This window comes from Homo sapiens, chromosome 2, assembly GCF_000001405.40.
Source record: "Homo sapiens chromosome 2, GRCh38.p14 Primary Assembly".
Taxonomy (NCBI): Eukaryota; Metazoa; Chordata; class Mammalia; order Primates; family Hominidae; genus Homo; species Homo sapiens.
The window spans coordinates 190,296,658-190,316,227 of record NC_000002.12 but is presented as its reverse complement, the minus strand read 5'-3'; the positions used below and the strand labels follow the sequence as shown (position 1 = coordinate 190,316,227).

The 19,570-nt window shown below is 38.8% G+C and overlaps 1 protein-coding gene across 5 annotated transcripts in view; it reads left to right on the top strand.

The window, feature by feature from the left end:
• The window catches only part of HIBCH (3-hydroxyisobutyryl-CoA hydrolase), a 130,092-nt gene that overhangs the window by 3,599 nt on the left and 106,923 nt on the right, over positions 1-19,570 (top strand). For all 5 annotated transcript variants that reach the window (XR_922903.3, XM_047443905.1, NM_198047.3 and 2 more), the window contains exons 2-3: positions 5,432-5,474; positions 19,275-19,415. Coding sequence is in view for 4 of the 5 variants with exons in the window: in XM_047443905.1 (XP_047299861.1) it covers positions 5,432-5,474; positions 19,275-19,415 (184 nt within the window). In the remaining variant the exon portion in view is untranslated. The remainder of the gene's footprint in view (positions 1-5,431; positions 5,475-19,274; positions 19,416-19,570) is intronic.

The window sequence follows — 19,570 nt, the reverse complement described above, 5'->3', positions numbered from 1 at the left end:
TGCATTTGAGCCCATGTATCATACCACTGCACTCCAGCCTGGGTGACAGAGTGAGACCCTGTCTCTAAAAATAAATAAATAAATAGAATACAAAAATAAAATGCTGCTGACCAATACCACAGTTACAGTTGGCATCTTTCTGGCAATTAGTTTTCAACTGCAGCCTTCTCATTTATTCCTTACAGAAAGCTGAGAGATTCCAGTGTCTCAGTGATTGTACATGCATGTGGCATAAGATATACCTTTAGTTCTAACTTTTCTTTCAACCTCTAGTCTCTTTCTTCTGTTGACTATTTCTGCTTATGTCAGTACAAATTCAAATTCAAAAAATTGAATTTGTATTTCGTCCTGCAAACCAGCTAGCTTCTTTCCCTGTCTTTTCTATATTCTCCTGGTTGTCCTGGCTTGAAATCTTAAAGTCATTTTTGACATTCCTTTCCATTGAGTTTTTACTTTATAAAAACTCTTAATAATATCACTCCCTTCTGTTTCCACATCTGCTGTTCTTCATCACCCCATGCCTAAATTATTGGCCTCCTGGACTTGATTTTCTGCTCTGTTCACACCTTGCCTACTTCTGGGATAATAATTTTCACTAAGCACTACTTTGTGATGTCTTCTTCCTGCTTAAGCAGTTTCATGTAGTTGTTTAATTTCGTGAGGCCATGTTTGTTTTATTGGATAATTGCAAAAAGTTCCTGAGTGATAAAGTTCTCATCTAAGACAGTTGTTTATTTAAACTTCACGCATCATAACCACCTGGAGGGTTTGTTAAACACAGATTTCTGGGCCCCACAGTTTCTTGTTCAGTAGGTCTGGGGTGGGGCAGAGAATTTCAGTTTCTAGTCAGTTTCCAGGGGATGTTGATGGTACTTGTCCAAGAACCATACTTTGAGAATAACTGTTCTAAAAAGCCAAGTTGACATCAGTTGAAGGAAATAAGCCTGATAAAGTTAATTAAGAAATTAGAAGTAGCAGGCCGGGCACAGTGGCTCATGCCTGTAATTTCAGCACTTTGGGAGGCTGAGGCGGGCGGATCAAGAAAGAAGTCAGGAGATCATGACCATGCTGGCTAACATGGTGAAACCCCGTTTCTACTAAAAATACAAAAAATTAGCCGGGCATGGTGGCAGGCACCTGTAGTCCCAGCTACTCAGGAGACTGAGGCAGGAGAATGGCGTGAACCCGGAAGGCAGAGCCTGCAGTGAGCCGAGATTGCACCACTGCACTCCAGCCTGGGCGACAGAGAGAGACTCAGGCTCAAAAAAAAAAAGGAGCGGAGAGGTGCATGCCCTCTTCCTCTCCACCAGATGGCAGTTTTGGAACCAATAGAAAAGAAAGATCATAAATTCAGAATTACCTGGGGACACTGAATTCTCAATTACATTTTGAGGTATAAAAGCTAATATCAAATTTTAAGTGACAGCTGAATTTGAATTAGAACGAATGGGCTGGGTGCGGTGGCTCACACCTGTCATCCCAGCACTTTGGGAGGCCCAGGTGGGCGGATCACCTGAGGTTGGGAGTTCAAGACTAGCCTGGCCAACATGGAGAAACCTCGTCTCTACTAAAAATACAAAAATAAGCCGGGTGTGGTGACGCATGCCTGCAATCCCAGCTACTCGGGAGGCTGAGGCAGGAGAATTGCTGGAACCTGGGAGGCAGAGGTTGCAGTGAGCTGAGATCGTGCCACTGCGCTGCAGCCTGGGTGACACAGCAAGACTCTGTCTCAAAACCAACCAACCAACCAAATGGAAGCAATGTGATTATATAGTATTTGACAAGGAATTTGGTTGTGTGTGTATATATATATACACATATATACGTATATATATACATATATATACACATATATACGTATATATATACGTATATATACACATATATATGTATATATACATATATACATATATATACACATATATATGTATATATACATATATATATATTTTTTTTGTAGTAACTGGTCCACAGATTTTTGTGACCTATAAATATTGTGTACAGTGGCTTTGTTTGATAGGTTTACATTAACTTTCTTTGAGTTAAATAAAATTCTGTCTTATATATAAAACTGGGACTTGGAGTTAGTCCTGAGTTCTCTTTGTTTACTTGTTAAAACACTGCAGTTAGTACTTACACTGTTACATAATAGTTGCAAATCTGGCAACACCCTCTTGAACCTTGAACCTACATTTGGGTACTGGCCTCATTAAGGAATCCAAAGTCATTCTGGATTTTTATGCTTAAAATCTCCAGAAAGATAAAATTGAGTCAAGTTGAAAACATTTTAGACGTGGTGTTTTAGGGTAGTGTAGTTCACACTTTAAAAGTAATTATGAAAACCTTATTTAGAAAGTATCCCTAAATAAGATATGATCTGTCACTTCAGTTTCATAATTATAAAGTGTTAGTGTTGATTTTTAATGACAGCTTCGTTCTTTGAAATCATTTAGGGGAGCTTCAAACAAAGTATCTGTGCCTGTGCCCCACCTCCAGAGTTTGATTTAATTGGTCTTGGGTGTGACCTGGGCTTTGGAATTTTTAGCAGTCTCCAGGTGATTCCTTTTTTTTTTTTTTTTTTTTTGTGAGACAGAGTCTCTTGTCACCCAGGCTGGAGTGCAGTGGCACAATCTCGGCTCACTGCAACCTCTGTGTTAGAAATACCAAAATTGTTAGATAAGTGGTGTTGTGAAGAAAAGTCAGCACGGAGGCAAAAGATTTATCAGCAAGGCCATTTTTACTTTCTGCAGAAAGGGTCCCCAATTGCAGATGGAACAATGGCGAGAGCACACTTGACAAAGGAAAAGCAGACATATTTATCCCTTACGCATTTGGGTTGTCCTTAATGCTGTGTCCTGCATCCATTGGCTGGAGTGGGACCTCACACTCTTAAACTGATACCCAATATGCTAATAGCCTAAATAGGTAAGTGTAGGGAAGAACAAAGAAGTTGCTTATGAAAGGTTTAAGGAAGCAATAACATTTTTAAATAAGGGGAATAGGCTGTGAGCTCGAACATGCCCGTGAGCATGTCCAATAGTTACGTAGGATAGGGCTTAACAAAGAGTTACTAGCACAAAGCAAGGAGGCATGAAGAAAGTTAGTCTTTAAAAGAAATTATTATTTCTAACAGTTATGATTTATTCTTTAACAGGAAGAAAAACTTTGAAGAGGAAACTTTTTACTTTCTACACTCTGCCTCCCAGGTTTAAGCTATTCTCCTGCCTCAGCCTCCTGAGTAGCTGGGATTACAGGCGCCCACCACCATGCCTGGCTAATTTTTGTACTTTTAGTGGAAACGGGGTTTCGCCTTGTTGGCCAGGCTGGTCTGAAACTCCTGACCTCAGGTGATCCGCCTGCCTTGGCCTCCCAAAGTGCTGGGATTACAGGCATGAGTCACCATGCCCAGCCGAGTCTCCAGGTGATTCTAATGTACAGACCAGTCTTGGAATTACTGGGCTACATTTTACTTGTGAGACAAATTCAGAAAATGCTAGTTCAGGAATGTGAATTATAACTGACTTAAACAAATAGGTTGTTTCTCTCTTTTGTATAGTATTATTCAATTTGAATGTAATATAAAAAAGTCATATAAATTCTGAAAGGCAAGTTGGATTACAAATATTTTTATAAATTCAGTCATCCAAGTTGTTACAAGTGGTAACTGGTGATATTGCCTTTTGTGAAACCTCAGGCTGTTGGTCTTCATATAATCTCAGAGTATTCTTGAAAAATTAACAGATTGTCAGTTTATCAGTTCCATTAGTTGGTATATGTATCTGCACATGTGCACAGCCCTTATCAGGCTGCTGCAGCTACTGATTCTAGCTTTGACCTCTTTCCATAGATCTTAAATTTAGCTTCTTAAACAAAAAGCATGCATCTTAGTATATTCTAACTATAGTGTTTTTATTTGCACATCTGTCATTACGTTGTGGGTTTCTCGAGTGCAAGAGCTATGTCTTTTAGGACATTTTTTAAAAAGCCCAAAGCATAATGATACAACTTGATGAATTTTCACAAATGAAACATACCTAAATCACCAGCACCTGGATCGAGAAACAAGCATTCCAGAGGCCCTCCTCATGCCTCTCTCAATCACTGCCGTTCCCGGTGTTGTCTTTTACTTTCTTATTATAATTTACATAAGGCACTTGAGTACACCGTTCTGAAGTTTATAGCTTAGTGAACTTATACCTGCAGTCCTGTAATCAGCATTGGGATAGAGACAATTTCCAACATTCCGTGTTTGTTCATGCCCCTTCCCAGGTGCCCCCACCCTCACCATTCTCATGTCCATTATTAGTGGTCACTTTGGTCAAGCTGTGTCTCAGGCTTTGTATTCCTAGCCCAACAAGCACTTTTAAGACAGCAAAAAATAGAAGTGTGTTGTGTTTATTGTTTTGTAGCCTGCTCTCCTTTTGTGATTTGTCACTACTTTTCCATGTTAGTATTTTTAGTGGTTGTGTAATGGCTGTATTAATAGACACAGTCTTTAAAATAATGCTCTACTCTTAGACATTTACTTTGTTTTCAGTTTTTCCATCCTGTAAATAATGTGAACATATTTATCAATCAGACTTTGGTCATATTTCTGAGATTTCCCTAGTGCAAATGCTTGCGGAATTAGTGGATTGAAGGGTGTGATCATTTTAAAGGCTGTGGATTTGTATTTCCAGACTGTTTACCGGAAAGGCAGTACCAATTTATACCTCTCTCTAGTGTCTGAGAATGCTGTTTGTATTGCATCTTTAACAAACCTTTTTTCTTAAGATTAATGACTTTATTTTTTAGAGTAGTTATAAGTTGATGGAAAAAATGACCTGCAAATTTGAGCAGAAAAGTTTGACAAATAATAAGGACATGTATCAACCATTACAGTATCATACAGATTAGTTTCACTGCCCTAAACATCTCCTGTGTTTCAACTGTTCATCCCTCCTTCCGTCCCCCAAACCCCTGGCAACCATTGATCTTTCTACTGATTTCATAATTTTGCCCTTTTCAGAATATCATACAGTTGAAATGAGAGTATGTAGCCTTTTCAGACTGGCTTCTTTTGCTTAGTAGTATGTATGCATTTAAGTTTCGTCCAATTTTTTTTGTGGCATAATAGCTCTTTTCTTTTTTTCATGGCTGAATAATATTTTATATGGTTGTATTGAAATTGGTTTGTCTTCCAACCATTGAAGAACATCTTGGTTACGTCCACATTTTGGCAGTTATGAATAAAGTTACCATAAAATTCATGTGCAAAGTGGCTGTACCATTTAATGTTCCTACCAGCAGTGAATGAGAGCTAAACCTTTTAAAACTTTTTGTTCTGGTAATACCTTTTAGAAGAGGCTGAAACAAAAGGTGATATACTATTTGTCAACTGAGACATGACTACCCACATTACTGTTCTCATTGTTTTCCACATTTGTTTCAGGTTTAATGCATTCAAAAGGACTAATACCATACTGCACCATTTGGTAAGTTATTGTGTTTGTTTTGCTGGCATTATTTGTATGTGTAACTTAAAATGTCATTGTTAGAGAAGTAGAGAAATACTGGTATGGCAGATTTCCTTGACCTTAGGTACATCATGGTTCTCAACTGAGTGTCAAGACATGGCACACGCACCTTGTAGGAGGTGGCATAAGATTATGGTTAAAACCATGGTTCTTACAAGTCAGAATGCCTGAGTTTAAATAATGGGTTCACTACTTAATCTTGGGTGGATTACTTGGTCTCTTACAGCTTCCCTTTTGATATGTATAAAGTGAGAATAATAATAATATCTACCTTAGAGTGCTTATAAATGATAAATAAGATAATTGTATTAATCAGTGTTCTCTAGAAGGACAGAACTTATAGGACATATGTATATATGAAAGGGAGTTTATTAAGGAGAATTGACTCACATGATCACAAGATAAAGTCCCATGATAGGCCGTCCGCAAATTGAGGAGCAAGGAAGCCAGTGATGGATCAGTCTGAGTCCCAAAACCTCACAAGTTAGGAAGCTGACAGTGCAGCCTCCAGTCTGTGGCCAAAGGCCCAAGAGCCTCTGGCAAACCACTGGTATAAGTCCAAGAGTTCAAAAGCTGAAGAACTTGGAAGCTGATGTTTGAAGGCAGGAAGCATCCAGTGCCGGAGAAAGATGAAGGCTGGAAGACTCAGCAAGTCAAGTCCTTCCAACTTCTGCCTGCTTTTATTCTAGCCACTCTGGAAGCTGATTAGATGGTGCCCACTCAGACTGAGGGTGGGTCTGCCTCTCCCAGTCCACCGACTTGAATGTTAATCTCCTTTGGCAATACCTGCACAGACATACCCAGGAAAAATACTTTTCATCCTTCAATCCAATCACGTTGACAGTCAATATTAACCATCACAATAATGCATTAAAAAATCTAGCATAGTCTTTGGGAGGCCGAGGTGGGTGGATCATGAGGTCAGGAGATCGAGACCATCCTGGCTAAGACTGTGAAACCCCATCTCTGCTAAAAAAAAAATACAAAAATTAGCCGGACATGGTGGCGGGCACCTGCAGTCCCAGCTACTCAGGAGGCTGAGGCAGGAGAATGGCGTGAACCCGGGAGGCAGAGCTTGCAGTGAGCCAAGATGCGCCACTGCACTCCAGCCTGGGCGACAGAGCGAGACTCTGTCTTAAAAAAAAAAAAAAAATCTAGCATAGTGCATGGCATATGACAGTCATTTTATACATGTTAGCTATTACTGTAATGGTACCTTGCAAAGTTAAATATCCAAAGTTTATCAGATTATAAGGAAGAAATAAATTTTATTCACTTTTATATCTCTTATAGAGGCTGACAAGTAAATTGCACATAAAAATAACAAGTCATCTGATATCACTGTATTCTAGGTGGTATTGTAAGTACTTGTCATGGGTTAGCTCAGTTAATTTTCATGATAGTCCTCTGGGGTACATACTACAGATCTCTTATTTGCAATTCTAAAACCTCAAAACCAAAAGTTTTTTGTTAGTTTGTGGTAAATACATTGGCAAAATCTGACCTGGATGTACTTGAAGCTCTTTTAGTTTTTATCCTAACTAGTGTAAACACTTATGGTTTGGTGCATAAATATAAAAACCCTTTATTACTATGTAATCAAGTATTACAAGGACCTAGACTTCTCTTGGGGTGTTTTATGAAGTATTTAGTATGTACTATTTTCCAAAATCTAGAAAATTTTAGGAATTAAGGGATTGTAGCCTTATCTCTATATAACAGGGCAGAAATTGAGGGACAGGGAGGCTAAGTAACATGCCCAAATGTCACACAGCTAGTAATTATGAGGTGTGATTTGAATCCTGGCTATCTGTTTTCATAGATTTACTTTGTACGCCCTATAGCCTCTGACAGAGTGGGCACTACGTAACTATTGCAACTGTGCCTCTGTTAAGCCTAAGTGGAGATGGGGATACGAAGCCTGGCATATCCCTTCCTAACTGTGTTAGTCCATTTTCTGTTGCTTATAACAGAATACCTAAAACTGAGGAATTTGTAAAGAAAAGGAATTTATTTCTTATCGTTACGGAGGTTGAGAAGTCCAAGGTCAAGGTGTTGCATCTGGTGTGGGCCATTTTGCAGGTGGGACCTCTGTAGAGTCCTAAGGCGGTATAGGACATCATGTGGCAAGGGGGCTAAGTGTGCTAGCTCAGGTCTGCCTCTTCCTCTTATAAACCTACAGTCTTACTCCCATAATAACCCATTGGTTCATTAACTCATTAATCCATTAATTTATGAATGGGTTAATCCGTTCATGTGAGCAGAACTGTCATGCCCAATCACCTCTTAAAGCACTCACCTCTTAGTATTGCCACAGTGTGGATTAAATTTCAACAGGAGTTTGGGAGGGGGCAAATACTCGAACCATAGCACTACCCTTACTTATTTTATTCAGCTGTTATACATGGAGGTTGAGGAGTTTCCTAGAAAAAAAACTAGGAGCAGTGTCAGTGACTCAGACATAAGTACAAAGGTGGAATGGGAAGACATGACAGAATCCAGATCATATGAGGACTATGGTGACATGGGGCAGAAGACACCTGGAAGGAAGATAAAGACTCTCAGGGCCTGGGGGTTGAATAATTCTGAATCTCAGTGTTTGCTTTTATGAGTGCCTCAGGGGTAGAGAAGATGTATCCCAAGCAATTCTTCTGTGGCCTTTCTGAGACAGAGAGAGAGAAAGAGAAAGAGAGGGAGAGATCCTTTTTATTTCATGGTGGAGTGATGGAAGTATGCCATTGATGGCAGTATTGCAGGCAGAGTTATGAGAAGTGGACAGGATTATTTTGTGTTTATAGTGTGACATTCACGGTGACCCTTCCAAGATAGAAGGTAGGGAATAGAACCCAGAAGGGAGGACAGAATTCTGCATTTCTGCATATAAGGTTTGTCAAGCTAATGAAAGCCAGTGGAACCTGTCAGTGAGGCCTCATTTCTATCTGTAGACTAATTTGGACATATTCTTACTATGAAAATATTCAGGGAAATATTTTTTTTTCTTCTTTCTCCATAATCTATTTTAAACTCTTTTTTTGTTTGTTATTGTTTGAGACAAGGTCTTGCTGTGTTGCCCAGGCTGGAGTGTAGTGACATTAGCTTACTGTAGCCTCGAACTCCTAGGCTCAGGTGATCCTCCTGCCTTAGCCTCCCGAGTAGCTAGGACTGCAGGTATGAACCCCAACCCCAGCTAATTTTTAAATTTTTTGTAGAGATGAGGTTTCTGTGTTGCCCAGACTGGCCTCGAACCTCTGGGCACAAATGATCTTCCTGCCTTGGCCCCTCAATGTGCTAGAATGATAGGTGTGAGCCACCATGCTGGTCTATTTTAAATTCTTAAACAGCATTTTAATTTAATATGCAAAAGCTCATTTAATTTTGACCTGGATATGGAGAAAACTTCTATTTTCATTTTCTTTTTGTCCTTTTAGAAAGTAGTATTCAGTATTGAGGGTATAGTGTTTGGAGTGCATGAAATGATACTGTGTATATCATTTTCATGACAGTACACATGTTCTTATTATGATGTCCAGATGGTGTCCTAGAATTATTAATAGTCCTTTTAATCCTATATCTGAATCTCTTTTCCTCCACATCTAGATTCCTAGTTCCCAAGAATATAGTAGATGATAGTGTTTTAGTCCATTTGAGCTGCTGTAACAAAACCGTAAACTGGGTAGCTTATAAAAAACAAAATTTATTTCTCATGGTTCTGGAGGCTGGGGAGTTCAAGATCAAGGGGCCAGCGGATTTGGTGTCTGGTGATGGCCAGCTTCCTGGTTAATAGACAGCCTTGTTGGCCATCTTATCTCTCTGTCCTCTTGTGGTAGAAGGGGTGAAGAAGCTCTCCAGGGTTTCTTTTATAAGGGCGTTAATCTCATTCATGAGGGCTGACATGACCTAATTACCTCTCAAAGGTCCCACTCTTATGCCATCACCTTGGAGGTTAGGATTTCAACATACAAATTTTGGAAGGATGCAAGCATTCAGTCTGTAGTACTATACAAGCTAATAGTTAGCTTCTTAATATTTCATGGGTGCTAGCAGAAGACGTGACACTCTTGGATTAGAAAAAATAGAATTTTTTATGAGTGGCACAGCGAGCAACACTGAGCAAGGTTTCTCTTGCTTAAGCCTCAGGGGAGTGATACAGAGGACCTATATGAGTGCCTGCATATGCAGTATATTGCATGACAGTACAACTGTCATGCAATTTGGGAAACCTGCTGGTTTTAGTAAGCTGTAAATAAGTCTGCTGTCTGTCCCAGAGGAAGACATTACCTTCTTCTTCATGGTGGCTCACAGCAAAAACCTTCTTCTTCGTGGAGTCTACAGCAAAAGACCTTTTTCTTCATGGTGGCTACCTTGAAAATGACCCAGGCAAGGAGTGGTCAGGCCCTTGGGTTCATGGCATACCTATTCATAGCACACCCAGCAGTAAGGTACAGAGAAATTTCCAGCGCTTATGCCAGATTGCATCCCTCAGCGGCTAAATTCCATTTCTTGACCTAGGTAGTGGTTACAAGAGTTTTGCATTATAGTAATTGACTAAGTTCTATATTATACTTTCGGTGGTTGTCTGTGTGTGTGTTTTGTTTTACCATAGAAACATAGAAAAAAAATAAGACAGCTTTATCTGTAGTAGTGACATGGGAAGATGACCATGGCAAGTTGCTGAATTAACAGTGGGAGGTGCAGAATAAGGTATGGCATTCCATTTTTGCTAATAGTTTATGGAAAAGTGCCTGAGAAAGATAGACACTAAATCAGTAGTGTTGCAAACCAGGGCAACTTTGGTTTTCACCATTTTACCTGTGGTTGCCCCCTTAATTAAAAACAAAAAATCTTACTGAGATTATGGGTTCAGCTGGATGTGGGAAATCTCTTTATTCTGCTTATTAAGAAAATGTTATATTTTATTACCTGACTTTATAGAAATAAGTTTTTAAGATAATTTTTTATTATTTTACAGTTTTAGATCTATTGAAAAGTTAAAAAGATAGTACAGAGTTCTTACGTACCTCTCACCCAGTTTCCGTTTCCCCTAATGTGATCCTACATTGCTATTATGGATTGAATTGTGTCCCCCAAAATTCATATGTTGGAGTCCTAGTCCCCAGTACCTCAGAATGTGACCTTATCTGGAAACAGGGTTGTTGTATATGTAATTAAGGTCATAATTGAGTAGGGTGGGCCTCAATCCAATATGACTGGTATGCTTATAAAAGGGAAATTTGCAGATAGTCATGTACACAGGATAATGTCACGTGAAGATTGGAGTTATGCTGCCACAAGCCAGAGAACTATCCGAAGCCAGAAAAGAAGCCTAGGATAGTTCCTTCCCTAGCACCTTCAGCAGGAGCATTGCCCTGCTGACCCCTTGATTTTAGACTTGCAGCCTTCAGAACTGTGAGACAATAAGTTTGTGTTGTTCAGACTCAAAGTCATCTCGGACTCATCTTGCTCATTCTCATTTCCAGTGAACTTCCAAGCTCTGTCAAACGTTTCCTTAAAAGGATTCCCCCCTCCTTTTCTTTCTATTCCTACTGTTAATCCTCTGTACCTAATCACTCTTTAATCTCTTAACTGGTTCCTCTACAACCTCAACCACCGCATTTTGCCTCACATACTAATGCTAGCATATTATTTTTTAAATATATTACAAAATTACATTGAAAAAGTTTTAGAGACTTTGTTTTGCCAATGGAATAAAGATTACACAAGACCACACAGTTAGAGAGACTTAAGGCTAGAACCCAGGATTTTTTGTGCTTCAATTCTAACACTTTTTTTACTAAAGCATACTGTGTCTTATAAATTCCAGCACAGGGATACATTATTCGTCCTATTTTATCTCTAAATGCTTTAGTTCTTTATACTTTGTTTTAATCTATAAGTTGCTTCAGTTTCTTTTGGAGGTAGAAGAGATCATAAAACTTGGAAATCAAAACAAATGTTGGTTAAAATAAAACTGCTGGTTTTACAAAAAAAATAAGTTTGTGTTGTTTAAGCCATTTAATTTGTGGTACTTTGTTATGGCAGCCCTAGCAAACTGCCTACTATTCTTACTATGGTACACTTATCAAAACTGAGAATATTGGTTTCGTGGTTTGAATATTTGCCCGCTCCAAAACTCATTTCGAAATTTAACCCCCAGTGTGGATGTATTGAAAGGTAAGGCCTTTGGGAGGTGATTGGGTCACGAGGCCTCTGTCCTCACGAAGGATTAATCCATTAATTGATTAATGGGGTTATGGGAGTGAGACTGGTGGCTTTATAAGACAAGTAAGAGAGATCTGAGCTAGCATGCTTAGCTTCCTTGACATATGATGCCCTGTACCTCCTTGGGTCTCTGCAGAGTCCCCACCAGTAAGAAGGCCCTCACTAGATGTATCCTTTTGACTTTGGACATCAGCCTCCATAACTAAGGAAAAGAATAAATTCCTTTTTTTTTTTTTTTTTAACAAATTACACAGTTTCAGGTATTCTGGTGTGAGCAACAGAAACTTAACTAAGGCAATTTGTATATTACTGTTAACTCCAGACTTTATTTGGATTTCACCAGTTTTTTTTCATTAATATTCTGTTCCAGAAATCAATGACACTGCATTCACTTGTCATGCTTTTTAGTTTCCTCTAGTCTGTGATAGTTTCTCAACTTATCTTTCCATATTTTTCATGCCCTTGACAATTTTAAGGAGTAGTGGTCAGGTAGCCTGTAGAATACCATCTCATCTGGGCTTGTCTGTTGTTTTTTTCATAATTAGGCTAGAGTTAAGGTTTTTGGCAAGAATATGACAGAGGAAAAGTGCCCTTCTAATCTCATCATATCAGGGAGTATTTGTGGGTTTTGACAAATGCATCAGGGAGTACATGGTATCTACATGACATCATTGGTAATGCTAACTTTTATCCTTTTGTGTAAGTGCCATTTATTGTTTTCCACTATAAAGTTGCTATTTTTCCCTTTCATGCTCTGCTTATTGAAAGCAAGTCAGTAAGTCCAGCCCAAACTCAAAAGGTGAGGGGACAAAGCTCTGTCTCTTGGAAGGGAGATAACTACATATGTCATTTAGAATTCTGCGAGGAAGATTATCTTTTCTCCTCCATTTATTTTTTCTGTGTGGACTCATGGATATTTATTCTTTGGGCTATCATCTAATATCACATTATTGATTGCTTCATTGTTCCAGTTCTGGCCATTAGGAATTCCTTCATTTTGGCTTTTGTATTTCTTTCATATGACCCCATCCTTTTAATTTTTTTTTTTTTTTTGAACATTTCCTTTCTGGTGCTAGAAGGTATGCTCTGGACTCATTTCGTGTTTTCCCTATCTTAGTGCTGGAATCAGCCTTTTCTCTAAGGAGCTCTGGTTGCCTTTATTGGAGAATTGCATTTGGAAATCAAGATCTAGACTCTGGGAGTGCTCTTTGCTGCTGAGTGTCATGGCTTTCTCTCAGAGGATAGAGCTAGGGTAATGTATGTATCTGTAATAGAATGCATATACACTATGTACTTACCCATGTATTCATGCATATCTCTAATTGTTTCTGTACTTTTTCTGTATATGTGTATTAAACTAAACATGAGTTCATAGTGATGTCTTTGTCTTTAATCCAGTACCATAGGTCAGGGTTCATTCTGTCTTTCCCTTCTTGTTCTATCTGTAACTCTACTCCTGACAGTGAGAGCCAGGCTCCATTACTTACTAATTTAAACCTAGTATATATGCAAAGCAGTTGCAGAATTGTTACCTGCTCCTTGCTACCATGAAAAGCCATGTTGATAGAGTACACTGTTGATGTACAGTTCCTTTATCATCCATACAGTTTTCAGTCATTTCACTGATTTCCAAAGTTAGTTAGCTTCCTTATCACCACAGTCACTTCACTGAGGTTATGTCATAATGTGTAATTCAGTTAGGTTCTGAGAAGGAAAAAATCCTGTTCCCCCCAATGACTAGACTCCCCTCTCAGCCAAGGGGACCCCAGAGAAAGCTTAAAAATGAGTTCCTGGCCAAGATGGAATGAGAGCTTGGACACACCTTGTAATACCTCCTCCCTTATTAGCCACCATTAGTCTTTCTTCCCTAAGAGTTAAACAGAAACCAGCCGAAATTTTCCCCTGCTGATTTCAAGCAACTACCTGACTGTTGTTCCTTCTTTTTGCAGTTTTGACACAGCAACTGACCAGCATTCCTTCCTAATAAAAGACCACTGATGATGGAGTGGTTCTGGCCAGTCTATGTAGGGAGGCTGCACACAGTGGGCCTCCATTTCCTCTGCTTCATCTTTTGATGTATAGGGCCTAATTGTGATACTACTTGTTAAGTCTCCACCCCAGAGTTAACATGGCATGCATGTGCATACATGTTAGCTTACTATACATGCATGTGCCTCCTGTTCGTGAATATTCATAGCCCCTCCTGTAAGCTGTTGAATATGTTTATGTAGCCAGCCAGTTCAGCATAAATTCCTGTTTCCCTCACTAGAAGTGCTTGCTCTTGGCTTCTGCCAGAGGCTGTGTTTCCCAGCCTGTGGGATGGTCAGCCTGCAGGCTGCAGCCCTTTAGGAGAAGTAAAGCTCTCTTTTCCAAATTTATGAATCTTCTGATTCTTCAGTTGACAGTTCATTTGTCATAGTCTGCATTCCATATTGGAATTCCCTGATATCCTAGGTAATTTTTTTGCTTTTTAAAAGATAGCTCATGCTATGGTTTGAATGTATGTGTCCCTCCAAAATTTGTATGTTGGAGCCTAATACCAAATGTGATGGTATTAAGAGGTGGGGCTTTTTGGGAAGTGGTAAGTCGTGAGCACCCCACTGTCACAGGATTAGTACTCTTATAAAAGAGGTTGAAGGGAGTCAACTAGGCGTCTTTGCCCTTTTCCTTCCTTGTGCCATGTGTGGACACACAGAACTCATGCAAAATGGGGTCTCACCAGGCACTGAATCTCGAACTTGAACTTGCCTTGATCTTGATCTTGAACTTCCTAGCCTCTATAACTGTTAGAAATAAATTTCTGTTCTTTATAAATTACCCAGTTTAAGGCATTTTGCTGTAGCAGCAGGAATGGACTAAGACAGTTGTGTTTGTGATGTACATTTCTGTGAGTTTTGACAAATTTATAAAGCATGTACCCACCACCCCAATACATGCAGAGGAGTTCCATTCCCCTAAAATTTTCCATGCTTCCCCTTTGTAGTCAGGCACTACTCCTTCCCCCAACTCCCTCTCCCTCCTCTGGGGATTGAGATTGACTGCCTTTTTAAATTTTCCTTTTCTTTTGTCCCCACTTCCTTTTCTTCAGCTGTTGTTGACAAACACTAAGGTCCTTAGGCTATGGTCTTGAAGTGCTTCTCTTTTGAGATGAAGACTTTTATTTAGTAGGCCTCTATTTCCTTCCCCCACTAGAATGAGACTTTATCATAGACCTAGGGCTACAAGCTTGAGGGTTTTCCTTCCCCTCCCTGCAGATAAAGCCTTTTGTTCTGTATGGGAGATAAAGGGAAAGGATTTAGCAGTGACCTCTGTTTCCCTCCTGAGCCAGCACCTCTGGCTCCAGTCATCCTAGCCTGGTTGGGTTCCAGGAGGAAAGTTCAGCAAGAGAGTGGGAAATGTTAACTAAGATTAACATTTTAAGTTAATCTTTCTTATGGCTTATGCCCCTGGTAAGCAGGGGTGGCTGCTTCACTTCCATTTCCAACATTCGTGTAGATTTCTCTTTTGACTAACTTACAGCCATTCAGACAGACATGTGTCTGATCTTTGACGAGCCTGACTAATGGAGCAATGACAGAAGGATTCCTTATTCAATAAATGGTGCTGGGATAACTGGCTAGCCAGATGCAGAGAATGGAAACCGGACCCCTTGCTTACACTATATACAAAAATTATCTCAAGATGAATTAAAGATTTAAATGTAAAACCCAAAGCTGTAAAAACCCTGGAAGACAACCTAGGCAGTATCATTCTTGACATAAGAACGGGCAAAGATTTCATGACGAAGACGCCAAAAACAATTGCAACAAAACCAAAAATTGACAAATGAGATCTAATTAAAGTAAAGAGCTTCTGGACAGCAAAAGAAACTATCAACAAACATACAACCTACAGAATGGGAGAACATGCAAACTATGCATCTGACAAAGGTCCAATATCCAGCATCTATAAGAAACTTAAATTTATAAGAAAAAAACAACCCCATTAAAAAATGGGCAAAGTACATGAAAAAACACTTTTTAGAAGAAGATAGACATGCAGCCAACCACATATTAAAAAAAAAAAAGCTCAGTATCACTGATCATTAGAGAAATGCAAAACAAAACCATGATGAGATACCATCTCACACCAGTCAGAATGGCTATTGTTAAAAAGTCAAAAAATAACAGATGCTGGTGAGGATGTGCAGAAAAGGGAACGTGTATACACTGTTGATGAGCGTTTAAATTAGTTCCACCATTGTGGAAAGCGGTGTCGCGATTTAAAGAGCTAAAAACAGAACTGTCATTCGACCCAGCAGTTCCATTACTGGGTGTATACCTAAGGGAATATAAATTGTACTACCATAAAGACACATGCACACGTATGTTCACTGCAGGATCTTCACAATAGCAAAGACATGGAATCAACCTAAATGCCCATCAGTAGCAGATTGGATAAAGAAAACGTGATACATATACACCATAGAATACTATACAGCCATAAAAAAGAAGAAGACTATGTCCTTTGCAGGAACATGGAGGGACCTGGAGGCCATCATCCTTAGCAAACTAATGCAGGAACAGAAAACCAGATACCGCACGTTCTCACTTATAAGTGGGAGCTAAATGATGTGAACACATGGACACAAAGAGGAAAACAACAGACACTGGGGCTTACTTGAGAGTCGAGGATAGGAGGAGGGAGAGGAGCAGAAAAAAATAACTGTTGGGTTCTAGGTTTATGTGACAGTCTGTACAACAAACCCCCACGACATGAATTTAACTATATAACAAACCTGCGCATGTACCCTGAACCTAAAATAAAAGTTAAAAAAACAAAAACAAAACCTTAACACTGTTTCCTAGCATTTAGAAAAATAAAAGCCATGTGTATCTATCTGTGAAAAAAAAGTGTCAGACTGTTTCAGGTTCTGTAAGTTTATCCTTCCCCAGTATGTTTGTTTACTTATACTCAAGAATATATCAGATATGTGTGTGTGTGTGTGTATCAGACTTTGATCATTGTCAATGTGATTACAAAATATATCTTACTGTTGCTAAAGTTTTTATTTGAATTTTTCGTTAGAGAAACTGAGAAATTCAAATGAAATTGAAAAGACACAACTTTTTCTGTTGTTTAAGAATTGTTCCTGTAACTTTAAGTGAATATAAATTATTTCTATTTTTATCTGATAATTTTAACAAAAATTAACTCCAATATTAAATATGCAACTTGATTTCATAAAGGAGAACTTAAACGTTATATAAACGTGTTGCTTAATGCAGTCAAAATATGTACTTCTAGGTTCTATTAGATTTTTGCTAATAAGTGTGCTGTTTAGTTTTAATTGGCATTCTCCAGTTAAAATTTTCCAATTTCAATTTTCAATTTTACATTGCACACTTTTCCCATGTGAGGTTTTAAGTGTTGCCTTTACATAAAGGAATGTGTTAAGAATGGTGGTGCCATCTTCAACAAACCTGACAAAAACAAGCAATGGGGAAAGCATTTCCTATTTAATAAATGGTGCTGGGAAAACTGGCTAGCCATATGCAGAAAACTGAAACTGGACCCCTTCCTTACATCTTATACAAAAATTAACTCAAGATGAATTAAAGACTTAAATGTAAAACCCAAAACAGTAAAAACCCTAGAAGAAAACTTAGGCAGTACCATTCAGGATATAGGCGTGGGCAAAGACTTCATAACTAAAACACCAAAAGCAATTGCAACAAAAGCCAAAATTGACAAATGGGATCTAATCAAACTAAAGAGCTTCTGCACCACAAAAGAAACTATCATCAGAGTGAACATGAACAGGCAGTCTACAGAATGGGAGAAAAATTTTGCAATCTACCCATCTGACAAAGGTCTAATATCTAGAATCTCCAAGGAACTTAAATTTACAAGAAAAAAAAAACCCATCAAAAAGTGGGAGAAGGATATGAACAGACTTCTCAAAAGACGACATGTATACGGCCAACTAACATGAAAAAAAGCTCATTATTACTGGTCATTAGAGAAATGCAAATCAAAACCTCAATGAGATACCATCTCACGCAGTCAGCATGGCGATTATTAAAAAGTCAGGCAACAACAGATGCTGGTGAGGCTGCGGAGAAATAAGAACGCTTTTACGCTGTTGGTGGGAGTGTAAATTCAACCATTGTGGAAGACACTGTGGCGATTCCTCAAGGATCTAGAACCAGAAATACTGTTTGACCCCACAATCCCATTTCTGGGTATATACCCAAAGGATTGTAAGTCATTCTACTAGAAAGGCACATGTACACATATGTTTATTGCAGCACTATTTACAATAGCAAAGACTTGGAGCCAAACCAGGTGCCCATCAATAATAGACTGGATAAAGAAAATGTGGCACATATACACCATGGAATACTATGCAGCCATGAAAAAGAATGAGCTCATGTCCTTCGCAGGGACATGGATAAAGCTGTAAACTATCATTCTCAGCAAACTAACACAGGGACAGAAAACCAAACACCATATGTTCTCACTGATAAGTGGGAGTTGAACAATGAGAACACACAGACACGGGGAAAGGAACATCACACACTGGGGCCTGTTGGGGGGTGGGGGGCAAGGGGAGGGAGAACTTTAGAACAAATACCTAATGCACGCAGGGTTTAAAACCTAGATAACAGGTTGATGGGTGCAGCAAACTGCCATGGCACATGTATACCTATGTAACAAACCTGCACATTCAGCACATGTATCCCAGAACTTAGAATAGTGATGCCATGAGTCCTGATGGTTGGGTATAGCAGAGTCCTGGGAAATCACAGTATAGTTAAAACTGTGTTCCTTACAGGTGTTTTATTAGTTAATACTGCAAAATACATAAGCAGTGAGACCTGGTGATTAAGTTATATTGTGCAAGGCTTTAAGTCAGTATACAGGAAACTTCTTCACAATTATTAAGTATGTCATATTATAATCTGGCTGCAAACTACTTATTCTGCCTACCCTCTCACCACTCGTTTCCTCAGCCAGCCTTTGTTCCACTAATGTTTTAACATCTTAACATTTCCAAATAGTCATTGCTTATGGCTTAGCATGTGCTGTTTCCTTTGCCTGGAATTCTCACCTCCCCTTTTTCTTGGGATACATCAAGCCCCAACTCAAGTATCATCTTTGTTTTCAAGTTGACCATAGCTACAATAGTCAGAATTATTTGCCCTCTCTTATTCATCTTTGCTTTCTCAGTATGTAACATAGAACTTGATATACAGTAGTAAATTAAAATATTTAAGGGTATTTCAAAGTCCAAGAAATTCTAGACTGGGCTCTATATAATAAGTCAGCTTATTCAGTTAGCTCAGAAATAAAAATTTAGGAGGTGTGTATGATTTGCTTTGGAATTGTTCGTCTACATAATCTAAATAACTTCAGAAACTTATAAGGTGTACCTAGTTATTCTTTCCTTTAGTTACCATTAATATGCAAGATTTGCATTTGATATGTATGTTTTGATGTTGGCTTGTGATAAAAACTTAAGAAATTTTGTCATAAAGTTATTCTTTGTTTATACAGAGAATGTCCAAGCACACAGATGCAGCAGAAGAGGTGCTATTGGAAAAAAAAGGTTGCACGGGAGTCATAACACTAAACAGACCAAAGTTCCTCAATGCACTGACTCTTAATATGATTCGGCAGATTTATCCACAGCTAAAGGTTTGTAATTTTCTTATTGCAATTATATGGATTCTTTTCAAAGTATATCATAATAGGACATTTCTGGTATTTTCTCCCATAGAATCACATAATTCTCTGGGATATGCATCTAAGTAAGCCCCATCAATTCTTGAGGTTTCAGTGCTTCCCCTGTG